This window comes from Homo sapiens, chromosome 16 (assembly GCF_000001405.40).
Source record: "Homo sapiens chromosome 16, GRCh38.p14 Primary Assembly".
NCBI classification, from domain to species: domain Eukaryota; kingdom Metazoa; phylum Chordata; class Mammalia; order Primates; family Hominidae; genus Homo; species Homo sapiens.
In genome coordinates this window covers 69,310,222-69,330,766 of record NC_000016.10, presented here as the reverse complement: position 1 = coordinate 69,330,766, position 20,545 = coordinate 69,310,222, and the positions used below count along the sequence as shown (strand labels likewise).

The 20,545-nt window shown below is 54.7% G+C and overlaps 3 protein-coding genes across 9 annotated transcripts in view, besides 10 other annotated features; 2 read left to right on the top strand and 1 right to left on the bottom strand.

The window, feature by feature from the left end:
• Positions 1-131: part of a silencer, noted in NCBI's record as "silent region_7657", that runs on past the window's edge. NCBI's record gives its function as "represses an Ori minimal core promoter by ATAC-STARR-seq in GM12878 lymphoblastoid cells {active_cell/tissue: GM12878}" and the evidence as "EXISTENCE:reporter gene assay evidence [ECO:0000049][PMID:35858748]".
• The window catches only part of COG8 (component of oligomeric golgi complex 8), a 13,137-nt gene extending 8,798 nt beyond the window's left edge, over positions 1-4,339 (top strand). For all 7 annotated transcript variants that reach the window (NM_001379266.1, NM_001379265.1, NM_001379262.1 and 4 more), the window contains one exon: positions 1,588-4,339. In NM_001379266.1, the coding sequence (NP_001366195.1) occupies positions 1,588-1,731 (144 nt within the window). In that variant the 3' untranslated portion in view covers positions 1,732-4,339. The remainder of the gene's footprint in view (positions 1-1,587) is intronic.
• Positions 162-541: a silencer, noted in NCBI's record as "silent region_7656". NCBI's record gives its function as "represses an Ori minimal core promoter by ATAC-STARR-seq in GM12878 lymphoblastoid cells {active_cell/tissue: GM12878}" and the evidence as "EXISTENCE:reporter gene assay evidence [ECO:0000049][PMID:35858748]".
• Positions 162-813: a biological region, named in NCBI's record as "H3K27ac hESC enhancer GRCh37_chr16:69363857-69364504".
• Positions 166-813: an enhancer, noted in NCBI's record as "H3K27ac hESC enhancer chr16:69363857-69364504 (GRCh37/hg19 assembly coordinates)". NCBI's record gives its function as "activates a minimal SCP1, AML or CMV promoter by ChIP-STARR-seq in naive H9 embryonic stem cells {active_cell/tissue: H9 hESC(naive)}" and the evidence as "EXISTENCE:reporter gene assay evidence [ECO:0000049][PMID:30033119]".
• Positions 179-3,854, top strand: PDF (peptide deformylase, mitochondrial). The gene is made up of 2 exons (NM_022341.2): positions 179-770; positions 1,588-3,854. Exons 1-2 carry the CDS (start codon positions 197-199, stop codon positions 1,743-1,745), a joined length of 732 nt encoding a protein of 243 aa, NP_071736.1. The 5' UTR covers positions 179-196; the 3' UTR covers positions 1,746-3,854.
• On the bottom strand, positions 3,828-19,417 carry VPS4A (vacuolar protein sorting 4 homolog A). The gene is made up of 11 exons (NM_013245.3): positions 19,235-19,417; positions 14,648-14,759; positions 14,395-14,542; positions 12,056-12,117; positions 11,825-11,944; positions 11,224-11,380; positions 10,478-10,626; positions 9,998-10,079; positions 9,497-9,716; positions 8,067-8,207; positions 3,828-6,559 (listed from the first exon to the last, which is right to left on the bottom strand). The coding sequence occupies exons 1-11, from the start codon at positions 19,253-19,255 to the stop codon at positions 6,458-6,460; spliced, it is 1,314 nt and encodes a 437-aa protein (NP_037377.1). The 5' UTR covers positions 19,256-19,417; the 3' UTR covers positions 3,828-6,457.
• Positions 14,192-15,391: an enhancer, noted in NCBI's record as "CDK7 strongly-dependent group 2 enhancer chr16:69349279-69350478 (GRCh37/hg19 assembly coordinates)". NCBI's record gives its function as "activates an origin of replication core promoter dependent on BRD2, BRD4, P300/CBP, MED14 and CDK7 cofactors, with strong dependence on CDK7, by STARR-seq in HCT116 cells {active_cell/tissue: HCT116}" and the evidence as "EXISTENCE:reporter gene assay evidence [ECO:0000049][PMID:35650434]".
• Positions 18,645-19,594: an enhancer, noted in NCBI's record as "H3K27ac hESC enhancer chr16:69345076-69346025 (GRCh37/hg19 assembly coordinates)". NCBI's record gives its function as "activates a minimal SCP1, AML or CMV promoter by ChIP-STARR-seq in naive H9 embryonic stem cells {active_cell/tissue: H9 hESC(naive)}" and the evidence as "EXISTENCE:reporter gene assay evidence [ECO:0000049][PMID:30033119]".
• Positions 18,953-19,502: a silencer, noted in NCBI's record as "silent region_7655". NCBI's record gives its function as "represses an Ori minimal core promoter by ATAC-STARR-seq in GM12878 lymphoblastoid cells {active_cell/tissue: GM12878}" and the evidence as "EXISTENCE:reporter gene assay evidence [ECO:0000049][PMID:35858748]".
• Positions 19,563-19,702: a silencer, noted in NCBI's record as "silent region_7654". NCBI's record gives its function as "represses an Ori minimal core promoter by ATAC-STARR-seq in GM12878 lymphoblastoid cells {active_cell/tissue: GM12878}" and the evidence as "EXISTENCE:reporter gene assay evidence [ECO:0000049][PMID:35858748]".
• Positions 19,563-20,545: a biological region, named in NCBI's record as "H3K27ac hESC enhancer GRCh37_chr16:69344125-69345075".
• Positions 19,595-20,545: an enhancer, noted in NCBI's record as "H3K27ac hESC enhancer chr16:69344125-69345075 (GRCh37/hg19 assembly coordinates)". NCBI's record gives its function as "activates a minimal SCP1, AML or CMV promoter by ChIP-STARR-seq in primed H9 embryonic stem cells {active_cell/tissue: H9 hESC(primed)}" and the evidence as "EXISTENCE:reporter gene assay evidence [ECO:0000049][PMID:30033119]".

The window sequence follows — 20,545 nt, the reverse complement described above, 5'->3', positions numbered from 1 at the left end:
GAAGGTCCGGGGCGGGTTCGGGAGGCGGGAAGGCGCTCCCGGGAGGAGAGCGGAAGGGGGCGGTGCTCACTGCCAGTCTAAGCAGGAAGGCGGGGATCCAGTCGCGGCTTCGCTGTGTGCTGGCCGACGGCGCTTCCCGGCGTGCCCCGCGCTGCGGCCGGAAGGGGCGGGCCGGGTCACTGTTAAGGGGGCCGCCATGGCCCGGCTGTGGGGCGCGCTGAGTCTTTGGCCACTGTGGGCGGCCGTGCCGTGGGGCGGGGCGGCAGCCGTCGGTGTCCGGGCTTGCAGCTCCACGGCCGCCCCGGACGGCGTCGAGGGCCCGGCGCTGCGGCGCTCCTATTGGCGCCACCTGAGGCGTCTGGTGCTGGGTCCTCCCGAACCGCCGTTCTCGCACGTGTGCCAAGTCGGGGACCCGGTGCTGCGCGGCGTGGCGGCCCCGGTGGAGCGGGCGCAGCTAGGCGGGCCCGAGCTGCAGCGGCTGACGCAACGGCTGGTCCAGGTGATGCGGCGGCGGCGCTGCGTGGGCCTAAGCGCGCCGCAGCTGGGGGTGCCGCGGCAGGTGCTGGCGCTGGAGCTCCCCGAGGCGCTGTGTCGGGAGTGCCCGCCCCGCCAGCGCGCGCTCCGCCAAATGGAGCCCTTCCCCCTGCGCGTGTTCGTGAACCCCAGCCTGCGAGTGCTTGACAGCCGCCTGGTCACCTTTCCCGAGGGCTGCGAGAGCGTCGCCGGCTTCCTGGCCTGCGTGCCCCGCTTCCAGGCGGTGCAGATCTCAGGTGCGGGCGGCGGGGACCGGGGCTGCTGGAGCAGCGCGCGCGTCTCTTCTGCCCGACTCCGCGAGAGCGCAGAAGTGGTCGCGGTTCATACGCCGGACCTCCCGCAGGAGCGAAGTGGGATGCGGGAGCGGAGAGGCCTCAGGACGGATAGAAGCTCCTGTGGGGTAGAGCCCGCTCAGATAGGACGCAGGGGCGAGGAGAGGTCCCCTAGTTCCGCTGTTACCTGACAGCCTGGCGTCTGCTTTCTGCTCCCTTGCTCTCTGAGGCAAACACGCTCTTCGGCCCCAGTTAGATCCGCCACGGTGGAGTTGGAGAAGTGGGGGTTAGCCCCCGCCAGCCTGACCCAGCCCAGGGGGCTAGGCCATTCCCCCGTGGTACCACAGGATGCCTCGCGGAATGCGGGCTCTGCTGGGGTCGGGGTGATTGTTCCTGCACAGCAAGCCCGTCGGTTCAAGATGGTCAGAAAAACAAGTGGGGTCTCAAGCTGCAGAACCTCTGTTAGGAGTTGGGAGCCCACAGGTACCTCAGAAGTGGGAGGAGTGTTCGGAAGGGTCGCACCGTAGAAAGATGATTTCTCATCTCAGCTCTACAGTGAGCTCGATAACCTAATTACCAGAGTTGGGAACCAGGTTGAACGCTTGGTAATGGACCGAGATGAGGGACGTTTTCCAGTTAGAAGAGGAGCTGCTGTCTACATTTGCCATCTGCTGTTGCCTCTTGTCAATGGGAACAGCCAGGACCGGGGGCAGGGGTAGGGAGGTTGAGGATGATGCAGTTCAGCTGTTCCCACTCACCAGGGCTGTAACTTCCTTTGCAGGGCTGGACCCCAATGGAGAACAGGTGGTGTGGCAGGCGAGCGGGTGGGCAGCCCGCATCATCCAGCACGAGATGGACCACCTGCAGGGCTGCCTGTTTATTGACAAAATGGACAGCAGGACGTTCACAAACGTCTATTGGATGAAGGTGAATGACTAAAGCTTTGCTACTGGGGCTGAGGATTCCGGATACCAAGACGCAAACACTTTCACTTTGAGCTGGGCAAATCTTACTTGGCATCAACTTGGATGGCTCGCATATGACAGGAAACTGGATTGCCAAGGCATGGCAGACTGAGCTGGAGGAAGATGTCAGAAATGTTTGCCCTGAAATCAGTTACGGACAAAATGTTGGCTACAACTTGAGGAGAAAAATCACCCCCAAAGGAGTGGACATTTCCTAACAATTCTGTATGGAGGAAGGTGGGGTAATTGCATTCGTCTGCAGTAGACACGAGTTCCTCGGACCTGTATAATCTCCCAAAGCCAAGGTTTGGTAATAATGTAGTCCCCAAATACCTGAAAGCTGTCTTTAAAAATGCAGGTAAGCATGTGACTGGCCATTTGTGCCGAGTTCTTATTTTTACGGAGGGCTTGTGGCCTTAGACGCCAGTTTGCTTATGGAAATGAAAGAGAATAGTCCCTGTTCAAGGATGTGTTTCATGACAGCACGAGTGTAAATGAGTGCCCACACATTTTAACAGCCTTGGGCAGGATTTTGCTGCTGAGATCCCTAGAGCAGCTGGTTCTTGGCTCATTCTTGGGGTAGAGGCCGTGGATCAGGGCTGGGGGCAGGGGTGACAATTGAGAAGTGCACTGAGCCCTTTCCTGTTAACAATTGGGCATAGAAAGCAGGATTAGTACTTCCTGGTTATACACTTATTTTGTAAAAATAGAATTAATATCACAGCAACCAATGTGTAGGTTTAAGAAAGTGGCCAGGTGCAGTGGTTCACGCCTGTAATCCCAGCACTTTGGGAGGGCGGGGCGGGTGGATCACGAGGTCAGGAGCTCAAGACCAGCCTGGCCAAGATGGTGAAACCCTGTCTCTACTAAAGATACAAAAATTAGCCGGGCGTGGTGGCGAGCACCTGTAATCCCAGCTACTCGTGAAGCCAAGGCAGAGAATTACTTGAACCCAGGAGGCGGAGGTTACAGTGAGCTGAGATCACGCCACTGCACTCCATCCAGCCTGGGCGACAGAGCGAGACTCAAAAGTATGATTCTGGCTGTAGAGTTTTCTTTTTTTCTCTGTCTCAAAAAAAAAAAGTGTCAGCTTTGTCTTGTCAAGAGGTGAAGGAACTTGTTTTATTCTTTTATTTTTTTTTTAAGATAGAGACGGGGGTCTTACTATGTTGCCCAGGCTGGCCTCAAATTCCTGGTCTCAGGCAATCCTCCTGCCTCGGCCTCCCAAAGTGCTGGGATCAGTTGTGAGCCACACTACCCAGCCAAACTCCAGTTTTAGTTAAACTGTTTCACCTCATTTTTATGCTGAGTTTTGTAAAGTAGGTATTCTTGCTGAACAGAGTCCTGAAAATCAAACTATACAAGTAGTAGGAAGTCCATTAAGCTGTTTAGAGGAAAAAGTGTTATAAATGGCAGTTAAATGAACCCAGGAAAGACCCATCCTCCTTTGTGGCTTTCTCTGAGGCCCCATGAGGCCAAGCAGAAGCAAACTGGCTCTAGGTGCAGCCAGACTTTGAAAAGGAATCCCGGCCAGGCTTGGTGGCTCATGCCTGTAATCCCAGCACTTTGGGAGGTCAAGGCAGGCAGATCACCTGAGGTCAGGAGTTCAAGACCAGCCTGGCCAACATGGCGAAACACTGTTTCTACTAAAAATATGAAAATTAGCTGGGTGTGCTGGTAGGCGCCTGTAATCACAGCTACTTGGGAGGCTGAGGCGGGAGAATCGCTCAAACCTGGGAGGCAGAGGTTGCAGTGGGCTGAGATCTCGCCACTGTACTCCAGCCTGGGCGACAGACCAAGGCTCTGTCTCAAAAAAAAAAAAAAAAAAAAAAAAAGGGAATCCCAACCAGATACTGGTGCAAGGTCAGAGATGCAGCCAATGGGGAGATTTGTAGAAAGCTCATAGATGCTAAAAACATGGGTCTTTAGGAAAATTAGAATTCAGCTGAGCCTCCTTTCATTTGGACAATGTTCAGAAGCTCTTACAGGGGGCTATGGCAATCTTTTGATGCTTCTTATAGCTTTCTGAGGTTAACGCTTTTGTGGTGGGCATCGGTAGCAATAAAATGCAAACTTTATTGCATTTCCAGTAAAATCTCTCCCACTTTGAGCAGGAAGCACTCACAAAAAACGCATATACATGTCAACGTTGTGAGCTCATCAGAGTTTTAGAAATCAACTTCCACAGTGAAAGCCAATGTAGGCAGAAGGTTTATAACAGAATCCCCAGGCAGAGAAGTGAATTTCAGAGCATTTCAGGGAGGAAACTCCTCTGCACATGTCAGCATGTTTAACATCGATGATGGCAGGTTGTGTGCTGGCAGCCAGAGTCTGAGGCCACTGTCCAAAGTTCAGCGTCAGTGGTTCCTGTTGCTGGTCATGGAGAGAGACAACTGGAAAGTCAGGTGTCTTCACGCTCTAACTAGAGCACAGGGATGGACCATAGCCATGCTAACCTTTGTTAACCCCTAGGACTTGTCAAGGTGTTTAAGCAGTAGGAATGAGGAAACAACGTTCTGATTCAAGTAAATGTAACTAGAAGTAAAAATTTAAAAACTTGTAAGCTCACTAAAGTGAAGCTCTGCAGACACGGTTCATATCCTGGTGGCTGAGGGCACATAACCAAGAACTTACACAAGCACCCCCAAGCCACAAAGATCCCAGCTGCTATGGTTGAGGGGTAACCTGCCAGCACTGGAGCCAAGTGTTGGAGCTACTGATCCAAAGTTAGCTCACTTCTGCAGAGGCTCTGAACCAGAGCAAAGAAATGGCCCAGTGCAAGCCCAGTGTGAGCCAAGAGTTGGCCATGTAATCAGTTCTGGCCCAACCAGGTTTGAAAGGTAGAGGAGCAGTACTGGGTTTTGGAGAGGGAAGGTTGGAACAAAGCCCTTTGCAGGCTATAAGCTTCATTTACTAGGCCAGGTCTTTCTGTGTGAATGTGCTTTGACTTTGGTCTGTTTATATGCATGGGGTAAACGTGGGACAGCCTCTGCAGCTTCACTGCCTGCCGGACGTGGGTCCAGGGCTGCCAGCTCTGGGTCCTTGGTCTGTTGGGGGTCGCAAACTGAAATGGCCATGGGGCTATCTGGGCAGGCAACACAGATGAGTGGGGATGGGGGACCCCTTCTGTACAGAGCAGCCTCTACTTAGTGGCCGCTGACAGGCTGCCCCATGAGGACGCAGGCCCAACATTACCTAATTTAATCTTCTAGAAGTCAGAATTCTGAATTTTTATGTCAACTCTCGACTTTTTTTTTTTTTTTGAGACAGAGTCTTGCTCTGTCGCCCAGGCTGGAGTGCAGTGGCGCGATCTCGGCTCACTGCAAGCTCCGTCCCCCGGGTTCACGCCATTCTCCTGCCTCAGCCTCCCAAGTAGCTGGGACTGCAGGCGCCCACCACCACGCCCGGCTAATTTTTTTATTTTTAGTGAGACGGGGTTTCACTGTGTTAGCCAGGATGTTCTCGATTTCCTGACCTTGTGATCCGCCCGCGTCGGCCTCCCAAAGTGCTGGGATTACAGGCGTGAGCCACCGCGCCCAGCAACTCTCGACTTTTAAATGTTAGCGGCCCAAAGTGCTGGGATTACAGGCGTGAGCCACCGCGCCCAGCAACTCTCGACTTTTAAATGTTAGCGGCAGACCAAACCAAACAAACACAGCTGCAGGACGGGTCTGGTACGCAGGGCTCCCACTTTGCAGTCTCTGATCTGTAGGCCGAACAACGGCAAGAACTGTCTGGATCCCACAAACATCCCCAGCCAAACTTCTGAGGCCTTAAGGGGAGGAGGCCTTGCACACCTGACTGGAGAACAGGCCTAAGAACTGCAGTGTTCTGTTTCCTGCTCTGCTTTAGAAAAGAGAGGAGACAGAAAACCAGAGGGTCTTTTAATTGGAAGCAAGGGTGGCCCTTCAGAGTCTCAGTTAAGAGTCAAGGAAAGATGAGATCACTTGGGTAGCTCAAGAAGGGAAAAGGATTTATTAGACCATTTCCAGGACAGGGACCCAGGGGCAGTGGCTGGGTTCAGTGTTCTCACGCTCAGAGGAAGAAAAGGCAGTGGTGAACACCCGCCTGACTGCCTTACCCTGATCTAAACGACACCATCTCCTCCCCCAAGGAAGACACAGCCCTGGATGTGAACCTAGGAGGGTGGGAATGGCTTATGTCACTCGGTCTTTGAGGCAGAGCTTGGGCTGGGGTTGCAGGGGCATCAGCCAATCTGCTCTCAAGGAGCAAAACTTGGGCGTAAAAGGAACGGGCAGTGGGGCTAGCCGGCTGTCTGGAGGTCTGGGTGACCTGGCAGCACGGCTGCTTCTCCCCCGCCACCCCGCCCCACTCCTTGACACTTCCAGGTGATTTTATCTTTATAAATAAGATGAAAATCCAAGCAGCATTAATTTAGGGGAACAAAAGATGGAAAAAAAAGGGGGGGAGGCAGAAGGAGCTGATGAGCATCCAGGAGAGGAGGAAGTAGGAAGAGCAGTGTCCACTGTGTGCCCCAGGGCAGTGGAGTGTCTCTGTGGCTGCAAGGCCCTTCCTTCTGGCTCCCTGGCAGACGGCCAGACAGCAGAGGGAACTCTGTATTGACTGGGACAAGCCCTGGAGCCCTGTCTGGCTGTTGACATGGGGAGTGCCTGGATTTGCCCCAATCAACCTCCCACCTTCACCATTGCCCAAGTGAAGCAGCTTTTAACTCTCTTGCCCAAAGTCCTCTGAGAATTTCTTCACTTTCAGGAGGTCGTCTGCATTCACCGTGGGCCGGGTGGTGGCCAGAGACCGCAGCATGTCCGACTGTGAAGGCAACAGTATGTGCCTGAGCAGGAGCCAGGCTCCAGGTCCCCAACCTCCCCTCAGCACACAACAGGCGCAGCTGAGGGTGGGAAGAGGTTTGCCTTCAAGGCCACCCCAGAGGCCTGCTTGAATCTGCCTATGGCAGGGACCCTCTTCCCTCTCGAGGCAGCTCAGATGGGCCTCCTCCTGGTCTGAGAATCTAAGCTCCATCATCTCATAACTCCCCTTACGAACTTGCTTTCTTTTTTTTTTTTTTTTTTTTTGGAGACGGAGTCTGTCACCCAGGCTGGAGTGCAGTGGCATGATCTCGGCTCACCGCAACCTCCACCTCCTCGGTTCAAGTGACTCTCCTGCCTCAGCCTCCCAAATAGCTGGGACTACAGGCACGTGCCACCACACATGGCTGATTTTTGTATTTTTAGCAGAGACGGGGTTTCACTATGTTGGCCAGGCTGCTCTTGAACTCCTGACCTCAGGCGATCTGCCCGCCTCGGCCTCCCGAAGTGCTGGGATTACAGGCGGGAGCCACGGCGCCCGGCCAGGAGCCTTCTTAGCTGCACACCCCCAACACCAGCCACAAGGGCAGACCCTTGCCAGGATGGCACGGGCCAGGCTATGCAGGTGAGGCGCTGCCTTTGCAACTGCGTCACAGTCTTGACACATTCACTGCCTCACTGCACCGCAAAGCCAAACCCATGGATTGACGTCATATTATCTGGACCTGACTTTACTTGCTAAAGAATATAAAATGCAGGCTAGGTGTGGTGGCTCAGCTCATGCTTGTAATCCCAGCACTTTGGGAGGCCACGCTGAGAGGATCACTTGAGCCCAGCAGTTTCAGACTGGCCTGGGCAACACTGTGAGGCCGTTTCTAAAAAAAAAAGGAAAAATTAGCTGGGCATGATGGTGTGTGCCTGTTGCTACTCAGGAGGCTGAGGTCAGAAGATTGTGTGAGCTCGTGAGGTCAAGCCTGCAGTGAGCTATCACTGCACCACTGCATCTAGCCTTTCTCTGTATGTACAAAATGCTAATGCTGCCACCTGCATTCTGGGCCCCCAGTGAGTGTAATGCCAGCTTCCCTGAGCTACAAAGGCCATTCTCAACAGCCCAGGACATAGAAGAAGACTATTTTTTATTTTTGAGACGGAGTCTCACTCTGTCACCCAGGCTGGAGTGCAGTGGCCCAATCTCTGCTCACTGCAACCTCTGCCTCCCGGCTTCAAGCGATCCTTCTGCCTCAGCCTCCTGAGTAGCTGGGACTACAAGTGCACACCACCACACCCGGCTAATTTTTGTATTTTTAGTAGAGACAGGGTTTCTCCATATTGGCTAGGCTGGTCTCGAACTCCTAACCTTGTGATCTGCCCACCCTGGCCTCCCAAAGTGCTGGGATTACAGGCGTGAGCTACCATGCCTGGCCTGGAGAAGACCGTTTTTATTCTGGACCCAAACCCTCAATTTTCTGGGCTCTGTGCAGCCCTCTTCCCTCCCCTGTCAAGTCACTTACCATGCAAACCACAGGCTCTAAGAGTTTGTCCCCAGGGACATCCATCCAAGTCATCTCCATGGCTCCTGGGTCCCCTGGTGAGCATGGAGTCAGGAGGTCATCAATCATCATGCTGGGGTTGGTGCGAGAGGGGCCACAGACCTGAAACCAAATGGATCTGACTGGGGCAGCTGCCCCTCAGTGTCAGAGGGGCTCGACCCCTCCGGTCTCTAAGGAAGTCCCAAAGAGAATGCTCTGTGGGTCCCTAGCATCTGAGGAGGACGGGCTCCTTCAGAACTCGGGCTGGGTGGTCCGAGCGACTCATGATTTGCATGGGACTCTGGCAATCTGTAGCCCCAATGCCTTGATGTCTTCCTCATTAACACTGTCACGTCTCACCAGGAATACAGTGACATTAAAAGTGTGATATGGTTTAGCTGTGCCCCCACCCACATTTCAACTTGAACTGTATCTATCTCCCAGAATTCCCACATGTTGTGGGAGGGACCCAGGGGGAGGTAACTGAATCATGGGGGCTGGTCTTTCCCGTGCTATTCTCGTGATGGTGAAGTCTCACGAGATCTGATGGGTTTATCAGGGGTTTCCACTTTTGTTTCTTCATTTTCTCTTGCCACCAGCATGTAAGAAGTGCCTTTGGTCTCCTACCATGATTCTGAGGCCTCCCTAGCCATGTGGAACTGTAAGGCCAATTAAACCTCTTTTTCTTCCCAGTCTCGGGTATGTCTTTATCAGCAGCATGAAAATAGATTAACACAAAGTGGTTTTCCAACTGAAGTCCGCTGCCTTGGCAAAACATTCCCCCAATGTCCACAAGGCTCATTCCCTCACACCTTCACCTCCTGTCTCAGGCATCACCCCAGTGCCATCTGCCCTTCCCTCCATGCCCGAGACACCTCTCTCCTAACCCTGCTCCATCTCCATCCTCTGAGACACTCACTGACTGTGTTGACTGTCTCCCCACCAACAACGGAAGGTCTAGGATTTTTGTCTGTTGGTCACTCATATCTTCCCAGCACTTAGGACAGGGCCGGGCACACAGGAGGACCCACAGCAAATACTCAGCAGAGATCTGCTGAATGAATAGACAGGTCTTCCTGGTCATTTTATATCCAACACTTTCCAAACACTGATTTGGTGTCCACCCCGCACAAGAGCACACAGTGCTGACGGAGGAGGCCGCAGCAGGGTTAAGACAGTAAAGTGGCCCTGTCCTCTGCTTTCACACACCCTGAGATGGCCACACTCCAGAAGAGCTGCAGGGAGGGGACAGTGGGTGCAGCCCCCATGGCACTGGCCCTCGGCTCTCCAGGAGGCCTCAGAGACTGTGTCACCTGAGCAGCCGGGGAGCAGGACCAGGAGCTGGGAAAAAAAAAACCGAACATCCCGCTCTTACTATGAGATTTTTCTCAGCAGTGGCCGCGGGCACTCACCTTTTTGAAGTGTGTGGCCGACTGCACCTTCCTCACGGGCTGCATGAGAGAGTCCCGCACGATGATGCTGATGTCCGCGCCCGAGTAGCCTTCCGTCTTCCGGGCCAGCTCGTGGATGTTTGCATCCGTGAGGTTGTGGGGAGTGCTCCCGAGATGCAACCGGAACATCTGGGCGCGGGCAGCTTCCTCCGGCAAGGGGATATAAATTCGTTTTTCAAACCTAGAGAGCCCAGCACACGGCAGGAGTTGACAGCGGATGATGGAATGGTATTCACGGAAGGGGAGGCACGAAGATTTGAGTGAAACGGACGCATTTCATGGGCCAGTGATGCTGGCGGCACATCCTCAACAAGCCAGCCTCACAAAGGGCTCTGCTTGGCAGGCAGACGGGAAGACTCCAGGGAAAAGGGGCCAGGCTGCACCCGGGCTGCCAGCAGCAGGCGGACCGTGACCATGGTGGGAGGAAGCCTCCAGCCCTGGCTTCTCCTGGGGAAGACTCACCTCCTCCTGATGGCCGAATCCAACACCCATGGGATGTTTGTGGCTCCAAGAACCAGAGTCCCATCATTGTTATTCCCCACCCCTGTGGAGAAAGGGAGACAAAGACTCAGACTCTGGACACCTGCACGGGTCAGTTGAAACCTGGGGACAGACCCCGGGGGCTTTGTGTGTCAGCAATTGAAGCCATCCCTGTGCCACCCACCACTGGCAGGGTCCCAAGTGAGATTAAACCACATCTTGGTCTGGCTGTGCCAGGTGAGACCTATGGCACTGCCTGCCATGGGAGGGGTGGAGTGGCCCGTGAGGCAGAGGCCTCAGGCACCTCTTGGGAATTGAAGTCCACCCGTGCCCTGAGGGGCTGGAGCTGGGGAGTGCCTCTCCGAGGCTGAGAACAACCAAATCCAGCCGCAGCTCAGAATAAAGCCCAGGGTTGGCTTCAGGTGCAACAAGAACCAAGGGGGCCCTGGGCCCGGCACACACCCTGCATCTGGACCAAGAACTCCGTTTTGATCCTCCGGGCGGCCTCACTCTCATTTTCATTTCGGGACCCGCAGAGGGAATCCACCTCATCGATGAAGATGATGGAGGGCTTGTGCTGCCTGGCCAGCTCAAACAGGTTCTTGACCAGCCTGTGAAGGTGAGAAAGGGGGTGAGGACAAGACGTTCACGTCCGTGCCCGCCTGGGCTCCCGGCACTTCCCTCTTCTCACCCTTCCCACAGGGAGGCGCAGGCCACGGTCATGCCGGAATTGCGGAAAACGTGGTGGTGAGGAGCCCTCGGGCCACACTGCACCAAGAGGAGGAGCACACCTTGGTGTCAGCCCCAAACGCAGAGCCTCAATCCCAGGAGCCCCATGCGCTAGCTCTGCACTTACAACACGTCAGTCCCCTTCTTCCGAGCCCGTCTCATCACACGCAAAACAGGAGTCAGTGTGGGGAACCATGTCCCCCACACACTGCCCCAACAGGGACCGCAACCCAGACCCCAAAAATATCCTCACTTCCTTTCCCTTCTCTTGTGGAGCACTTCACCTCTCCCAGGTCCCTTCCACCTTCACTTGTCTTTGTTGGGACTGTGTCCCAGCCGATAAGCTAGCGACACACTGCTCTTGGGTACCCTCCCTGAAAACCAAACCACTCCTCTGAGAGGTGACTCCACAGGGTGGGCCGCTGGGTCACTAGCAGTGCCGGGGCTGCTGGCAGAGCATGGCCTGGTGGCCGACTTACTTTTCACTCTCCCCCAGCCACTTGGACATCAGATCTGAGGAGGACACAGAGAAGAAGGTGGAGTTGTTGGCCTCTGTTGCCACGGCTTTGGCCAGGTAGGATTTCCCTGTGCCAGGGGGTCCGAACAGCAGAATCCCCCGCCAGGGGGTGCGCTTGCCTGCAACAGAGAACCACAGAAGTTAGGCCTCCTGACTGGGGAAAGGAATAGGAAAAGCAGAGGGTCTCGAGTCCCATACATACAGTAAAACAGGGCATTCTGTGAAACAACGGACTCTACTGGCAAACAAGTGATGGGAGCTACATTCCCTGCTGTGCCCTGTGCTATGACCCCATGACCTTGCACAGTGCCCCTGCTATGACCCCATGACCTTGCACAGTGACACCGGCTGGCACTGCTTCCTGATCCTGCCCCCACCCTGTGACGTGATCGTCATCTCATAGCTCCAGCCACAGCAGTGTTGTGGACACCAGCGAGCAGCCAGGCCTGGCCCTCTGCAGGCCCCGGGGGCTGAGTCGCCACTGACTCCCGGGTGCCTCGGAGTGCCAGCCCTGCGGAAGCCTGGAATTTTTACATTGGGGTTTGAAATGGCTCAACTCTCACCTGTGAACAAGTGTGGGAATTTGATTGGCAAAATGACAGCTTCTTTGAGGGCCTCCTTGGCCCCCTCCAGCCCGGCCACGTCGTTCCACCGTATGTTGGGCTTCTCCATCACGACGGCACCTGCGAGAGGGAGGCCGGCCCGGGCCCGGGCCCGGCCAAGGGGCATGAGCCAACCCAGCAGCGGACCCACTCTCATCCCCTGCCGCTGCCACAGGGCCGCGAGCCACTTACCCATCAGCTGTTCTTGCAGTTTCTTTTTCTCCGGATTATCCCCTTCACTGTCACTGTCACTGCTGGGAAGGGAGACGGAAAGTCACAAGCTGGCCCTTCAGCCTGGAGCACAGAGGTGCTCCCAGCAAGTCCAGGCTCCGCTGCCTGCACACTGGTTAAGGAACGAAGCCTTCCTGGCTTAACAGTGCCGTGTGACTCAAGCAAGTACTTCAGGGACATTTGGGCCAATGCTCTCAGCAGCTCACTTCAGGACCCCCCCAGCAAACACTCCTATAACCCGCCCTGTTTCTTCGCGGAGCAGATGGGAATCCGGGTCGGCCCTCTCCTGAAGGCCGTAAGGGAAATGTGCTTCAGCTGGACTTAAAGAGCAGCCCAGGCCAGGTGCGGTGACTCACACCTCATACTCTGGGAGGCCACCTGCAGTGGCTCTCACAGCCCAGGCTGGGTGCGGTGGCTCACCCCTGTAATCCCAGCACTCTGGGAGGCTGAGGCGGGAGGATCGCTTGAGCCCAGGAGTTTGAGACCAGCCTGGGAAACAGCGAGATCTTGTCTCTACAAAAAACACAAAATTAGCCAAGCATGGTGGCACGCACCTATGGTGCCAGCTACTTGGGAGGCAGAGGTTGCAGTTAACCAAGATCGCACCACTGCACTCCAGCCTGGGAGACAGTGAAGCCCTGTCTGGGGGAAAAAAAAAAAAAAAAGCCAGTCAAACAATGCAGCTGCCAGAAGCTTCTTTTTTTTTTTTTTTTTTTTTTGAGATGGTGCCCAGGTTGGAGTGCGATGGCACAATCTCCATCTCAGCTCACTGCAATCTCCGCCTCCCGGGTTCAAGTAATTCTCTGAATTCTCTGGCGTCAGCCTCCCGAGTAGCTGGGATTACAGGCACATGCCACAATGCCTGGCTAATTTTTTTTTTAAGACAGAGTCGCACTCAGTCGCCCAGGCTGGAGTGTAGTGGCTCGATCTCGGCTCACTGCAAGCTCCGCCTCCCGGGTTCACGCCATTCTCCTGCCTCAGCCTCCTGAGTAGCTGGGACTACAGGTGCCCGCCACCACGCCCGGCTAATATTTTGTATTTTTAGTGGAGACGGGGTTTCACCGTGTTAGCCAGGATGGTCTCAATCTCCTGACCTCGTGATCCGCCCGCCTCGGCTTCCCAAAGTGCTGGGATTACAGGCGTGAGCCACCGCGCCCGGCCTATTTTTTTGTATTTTTAATAGAGACGGGATTCACCATGTTGGCCAGGCTGGTTTTGAAATCCTGACCTCAAGTGATCTGCCCGCGTTGGCCTCCCAAAGTGCTGGGATTACAGGTGTGAGCCACCATGCCCCGCACCAGAAGCTTTTTGTAGAGACTCAGGGACAGCATGTGCCCCTGACTCCAAAGCAGCCACTGCCGAAGGACAGAGGAGAAAGCAAAACCGAAATCGAAAGGGAACTCCTGGGGAGAACGCAGCCACTGTCACCCCAGGGCTACTTCCTCCCTGGATGGAATCTGTCATCCTCAAAACTTGATTTAATCCTTATTGGAGATCCCTGGCCTCCACCCCTGCCTCGCCAGACCTCTCCCTCTGCGGATGGGAACGTGGTGCAGACCCTCCATCCAGGAGGAGGCCTCGCCTCTGGTGAGGCAGCTGACACCACCCACCCCTCTCCTGCCTGGGGGACCCCCTCACTTCCCCTCCCACGCCTCCGAGATACCACCAGCATTTGTGTTCATATGACTGGGATCACCGTGGTGGGCGAACCCAGTACCTGAGGTGAGAGGCTGTGGAGAGGACCCTGGCTGGGGAATCGGGGCCACCCGCCCTGCTTTGGGGGTCCAAGTTCCATCCTGTGCCACCTCGGCAGGGCTCCTAACCCGAGCCGGCCGCCCCACCTGTTGGAGGCAGGTGACTCTTTGACAGTCACAGCAGCTGGCACTCATTGCATGCTCTCGTGTGCCAAGCTCCAAGGGCACTGCCCACGTCATCTCACTGCTCCCTGTGGCAACGCTCGGAGGTGAGTTCCACGACCTCCCCACTTCCAAGATGTGGAGATGGTAGGCACACGGGGTCCTGGCACTAGGCTGGGAGGTGACAGAGCTGGGGTCCCGTCCTGAGAGGCTCTACCATCTGCACCAAGCTCCCCCTCTCCCCATGGCTTGTGGGTCAGATCCAATGAGACGGTGAACATGGAAGTGCTCCAGGCCATGCTCCCTGAAAGCAGCTGCTGGCACTGTCATCCCTGCACTATGAGGACCATTCCCACAGGGAAGTCCAAGGCAGCATGAGCGCCAGGAATGATAGGGAGCCGTGAGGAGGGCCCAGGTTCCTGGGCGGACGCTGCAGACACTCACCCCTTGCCCTCACTCTGGTTCTCTTTGACTGGCTTCTTGCCGTGTTTCTCTTTGCTTCGTAAATAATCCTTCAGCTTCTCGGCCCGGTCTAGGTACTGCACGCACTTGGCTCGAATGCTCTCCTTGGCCTTGTCGCTGTGGGCCTCATCTGTGAAAGGGAACACAGAGGGGCCCCTGTGAGGCTCGTGCGCCACCCCCTCTCCTCCGCTCCCCTCTGGAGTGCGGCAGCCTGAGGACCCCTCGTGTGACTCACACTTGATAGCGTGGAGGAAGTACTCCACCGCATGCTGGTACAGCCGCAGCGCCTCCTCGTAGTTCTTGGCTTTGTCCTCCTCTGTGGCTTTCGTCACCAGATCAATGGCTTTCTGGAAAGGCAAAGCAAATGGCTCAGTGCTTCCTCGGAGAGGTGGAAAGTCCCTGGGGTCACAGGCATGGGGATGAAACGTGACGAGGGATGCCGCTGGGCCTGTGGATTTATTGCTTGCGGGCCATTTCATTGGCCTACTTTTTCAACATCGGCTAGAAAGGCCTTCAAAGAAGGCTTTGAAAACCAGCCGGCCATCTTCACAATAAGCTCAGACGGTTAAAAGCCACGCTCTGGATTTCAGCAAGTGGAAACCTGACCTAATATCTCAGGTCAGGGCTCAAGGGGCAAGTTCATGGGACTTTCTATTCTGCTGCCTCAAGGGAAAGAGAAACAGACCCGAGCTGAGAGCCTGGCAGAAGGGACACGCGGGAGCAAGTGACTGCTGGTTTGTTTAGCAAGGAGACCAGAAATTGCACCCGGCCTCAGGGCCAGAGAAGAGCCAGCCAGAAGGAAAGTCCTGCCCGGACTGCAAGTTTGCACAGGATACACTGAAAGGCCTCTCTCCTCCTCCTCCTGGCTCCATGCAGCTTGCTTCTCCAGGCTGCAGAGAGAAGACAGTTTCCTTCGCTGTCTAAAGTGACACCCTGGGAAGGGACGCTTACACACAATGCTCCACATACCAGTAGCTCCAGTAAGAAAAGTACTTGCTTGCTCCCTGCTGCCAACAGAAGAGAACTGTGTCCCTCTGGAACCTTCTAAGAGCTCTGTGAGAATGAGTGTCTTTGGGAATCTCATAAATCCTGTAGGCCAGTGCCTTAGGCTGAACTGAAAGCACCTACGTGGTTTTATTTATTATTATTATTTTTTGAGACAGAGTCTTACTCTATCATCTAGGCCGGAGTGCACTGGCGCGATCTCGGCTCACTGCAACCTCCACCTCCTGGGTTCAAGTGATAGATGCCCACCACTACATCCGGCTAATTTTTGTATTTTTAGTGCAGACAGAGTTTCACCATGTTGGCCAGGCTGGTCTCGAACTCCTGACATCAAGTGATCCACCCGCCTTGGCTTCCAAAGTGCTGGGATTACAGAAATGAGCCACCGCGACCGGTCAGTAAAGCACCTACATGGTTTTAAAGCCTGGTTTTAAAAACCGCAGCTTCACCAACGCCTGCACGAAGCATGACCAGAATTCTCCTCCTCAGATCCGGCACCAGTTACCAGGCAGGCAGTCCCACCGCAGACCCACGGTTCCAGGCACAGCAAACAATAAACCTCCTGACCGGCTCTTGGCAGGGCCGGGGCATTTGTTCAGCCCTCTCTTATCTGCAAGGAAGAAGTCTCCGAAAGAAACACACACAGACAGCTCGACAAAACAGACAGGCCAGGGGAGGCTGGGCCAGGCTGATGTGAAATGAACTCAGCGGATTGAAGAGATGAGAAGAGGGGTGAGTGCTGGCCATTATTTTCAAGCCTCTGCTCCCTCTACTACCTACAATGAATGGCTGGGAGCCCCAAACCTTCTTGGAAATGAGCTTAGGCACAGGCTGCCCTTGTCTGCCCTCTTCTGCATGATGTTCCTTCAGATGAGACAGGAAGGCAGCGCTCCTCTCCCTGGTGGCTTCTCGTCTCCAGAACACACACCCCCAGTACCTTGGACTTTTTCACTCTCTGTAGCTTCATGCTTGGGTCTATCCTTAGAACAATACTGAAGGTATTCTTTGTCCCATAAGGAGCAGCACTGACCCATCCCCTCCCTCCTTTTGGAAATTCTAGTAATACACCTAAGAGTGTGCTGGGGCTGGGCACGGTGGCTCATGCCTGTAATCCCAGCACTTTGGGACGCGGAGGCGGGCGGATCACCGGAGGTCAGGAGATTGAGACCATCCTGGCTAACACAGTGAAGCACCATCTCTACTAAAAATACAAAAAGTTAGCCGGGTGTGGTGACGCGTGCCTGTAGTTACGGCTACTTGGGAGGCTGAGGCAGGAGAATTGCTTGAACCCAGGAGGTGGAGGCTGCAGAGAACCGAGATCACACCAGAGCAAGAGTCCATCTCAAAAAAAAAAAAAAAAAAAAGAGTGCACTGGACTTTTCTGGCAGCCACATACAGTTTTTCACACACAGGGGGTCCAAGTTTCAATGGAGAGAAACAGTTTTACAGAACAGGAGGGTAAGGTGAGAAACTGCCAGCCCCGCCGCATCTCTAGTAACACGTATGGCAAAAGATGAGGATGAAAGAAAAGAGTGCTAATGGGGGCTGGCAAATGCTTACTGTAAAGGACCAGATGGTAAATAATTTAGGATTTGCCAGCCAGATAATCTCTGTAGCAACGACTCAACTCTACCTTGATGGCACAAAAGCAGCTGTAGACAGTATATCAATAAACGAACAGGGATGTGTTCCAATAAAACTTTATTTATAGACCCTGAAATGTGAATTTCATAGGATTTTCATGTGTCATGAAATACTGTTTTTCAAGCCATTTAAAAAATGTAAAAACCTATGACATTATGTTAAGTCATAATGAAAGAAGCTAGCCACAAAGGACCACCTATTGTATGACTCTGTTTATATAAAGTGGGTTTCTCTGTAGGCAAACCCACAGAGAAAAAAAGTAGATTAGCAGTGGTTGCCCAGGGCTGGGAGAGAGAGGGGTTGTGGGTGAGGGGTTTCTTTTGGAGGTGATGAAAATATTCTAAAAAGTGATTATGGTGATGGTCACACAACCATGAATATACTAAAAGCACTGAATTATACACTTTAAATGGGTGAGTTGCGCTGGGCACAGTGGCTCACATCTGTAATCCCAGCACTTTGGGCGGCCGAGGTGGGCAGATCACACTTGAAGTCAGGAGTTCGAAACCAGCCTGGCCAACATGGTGAAACCCCGTCTCTACTAAAAATACAAAAAAATATTAGCTGGGTGTGATGGGAGGTGCCTGTAATCCCAGCTACTTGGGAGGCTGAGGCAGGAGAATCACTTGAACCCAGGAGGCGGAGGCCGCAATGAGTTGAGATTGTGCCACTGCACTCCAGCCTGGGTGACAGAATGAGACTGTCTCAAAAAAAAAAATTAATAAAAACAAAAATATATAACGGGTGAGTTATATGGTAAGCACGCAAGTTATACCTTAATAAAGCTGTGTTTAGGCCAGACCCGTGGCTCACACCTGTAATCCCAGCACTCTGGGAGGCCGAAGTGGGCAGATCATCTGAGGTCGGGAGTTCGAGACCAGCCTGGCCAACACGGTGAAACCCGGTCTCTACTAAAAATACAAAAATTAGCCGGGCGTGGTTGCGGGTGCCCGTAATCCCAGCTACTCAGGAGGCTGAGGCAGGAGAATCGCTTGAACCTGAGAGGCAGAGGCTGCAGTGAGCCAAGATCACACCACTGCACTCCAGTCTGGGTGACAGAGTGAGACTCCATCTCAAAAAAATAAATAAATAAAATTTAAAAATAAATAAATACACCTGTGTTTGAAACTGAAAAACATTCTCGGTTCACGGGCCATAAAAAACCTGCCTGGGCAGACGGGATCTGCGGCTTCTGCTGGTGGTACGGTGGGATCTGGCTATGGACTCTTAATTCCTAACCTGGTACCCCAACTCATTCCATGTCTGCTCCTACTTCTGCCCTCCTCCACCTCCAGGTCTCTGAATGCTACTGGAACTCTGATGTCCCTTCTTCCATGAAGTCTTGCCTAACTCTCCCAGGCACTTTGTTGGCTGTCACTTAATGGACACCTACTATGTGCCAGACATACAAGAATGCTTTACCGTAATTATTCAATTTAAAGCTATCATCACAACAACCTAGAGGGCATTACCCCATTTTACAGACCAGGAAACTCGAGACCCGAAGATGAAAAAAAAAAACTAGCCCAAGGTCACTTGCTGGTGAGTGGCAGAGCTGAGATTCAAACCCCGGAATGAGGCCTGAGCATGTTGATCTCTTCTGGCCCCGCAGGACTGACAGCACCTAGAGGGTGGGTCAGTTGTTCACCCAGGTGGCGCCATCCCAGCACCACCCTGCAGGATCTAGGGAATGAATGAAGGGTCGCTGGCCGAGAAGAGGAAGTCGAAGATTGGGGAAGGGGCCGGGGCTTGTTCGAAGTGAGGTCGAGGGACTTCCAGGACCCGGGACAGGAGAGGAGGGAGCGAGACAGGAGAGGAGGGAGCGAGCATCGCTGTCTGAACGCCCAGCCGGACCCCGGGCCGAGCTTCCTGAGGGTGCCTGTGCGGCTCGGGTGAGGCTGATCCCCACGGCGGTACCGGGGCGCCGGCTACACGAAGCGGCCCTGGGGCTGGGCCAGCCGGGCAGGGCCGGAAGGCCTGAGGGTGGAGATGCCACCCGGCTCCGAGCGCGTGGAAACAGACACGGGCGGAAGCGGCGAGGGGGCGGCCGGAGCGGGGTCGCGAGGCCGGGGCTGGGAGGCGCCCACCTGACCACCCGCCCGCCGCCCGGCTCTGCGGCCCGCAGGCCCCGCTGCCTTCGGCCTCCGAAGTCGGGCCGGGCCGCACGAAGTACCTGGAGGGTTGACGTTGTCATTTCATCTCCTGGGTCCGCCCCACACCCCGCGGCGCTGCTTGCGGCCTCGGTCCGGCCCCGGGGAGCCGAGGTACTGGGTCCGGCGCGGGAAGCCCGGCGGTGGGCGCTGAGCGCGGTGCGCGGGCAGGGCGGCCGCTCGCAGCGGGAGCCGAGTCCGAGGGCAAGCGAGGAGCGCAGCCCAGAGCGGTCGGGCCCGAGCCGAGCGGCTGCCCCCTAGCGTCCACGGCTCGCACTGCAGGCACCTCTCCCTGCCTCGGCGAAGGCAGGGGGCGGTTCGAGAGGCAGGACTGACTGGGGACGAGGAGGTGGGACTAGGGCGAGACGGACAGGGGGCGGGGACGGGGTGGGTGGGACAAGGCCGGGGCGGGGCCTGGCGGGACGTACATTCTCGGGGCGGGGCCAGGGGCGGAGCGGGGTAGAATCCGGAAATCCTGACCTCGCTTGGAATAACAGCGCCCATTGAGCAGTTTTATTCTCACAATAAAACGAACTTATCAGAGCGTTGGTTTCTCCATGTTTAATATCGCACGATCATAATTAGTACCTGCCTTGTCTGGCTTTTGTGGGGAATAAATGAGCTAGCTAATGTAAACAGAGTGTGCCCCACACTGGGGCTCAATCCCTGGTGGGATGCCGCTGACTGTTCAAAGCCAGTTTTGTTTTGCTTGGATTGATTGACTGATTGATTGATACGGAGTCTTGCTCTGTCGCCTAGGCTGGAGTGCAGTGGCATGATCTCGGCTCATTGCGACCTCCGCCTCCCGGGTTCAAGCGATTCTCCTGCTTCAGCCTCCCGAGTAGCTGGGATTACAGGCATGCACACCTACTGTGTGCAGCGTTGTGTGCTAGTTTCTGGGGATACAATGATCAAAGCAGTTCTAGGGCTGGGTGTACTGGCCCACGCCTGTAATTCCAGCACTTTGGGAGGCCAAGGCAGGAGGATTGCTTGAGCCGAGGATCAAGACCAGCTTGGGCAACATAGTAAGACCTCGTCGCTAAATTAAGAAACAAAACAAAACAAACAAACAAAAAAACGCACCAGAGGCAAGTGATCCATTTGTCCACAAGTCTATCCTGTGAGAGAAAAAAAATGGAGGGCAAAAAACATCCAAGTTGAGGCTGGGTATGGGGGCTCATGCCTGTAATCCCAACACTTTGGGAAGCCGAGGCAGGCCGATTGCTTGGGCCGAGGAATTCGAGAACAGCCTCGGCAACAGGTGAACCCCCATCGCTACAAAAAATAAAAAACGTATCTGGGCATGGTGGCGCACACCTGTAGTCCCAGCTACT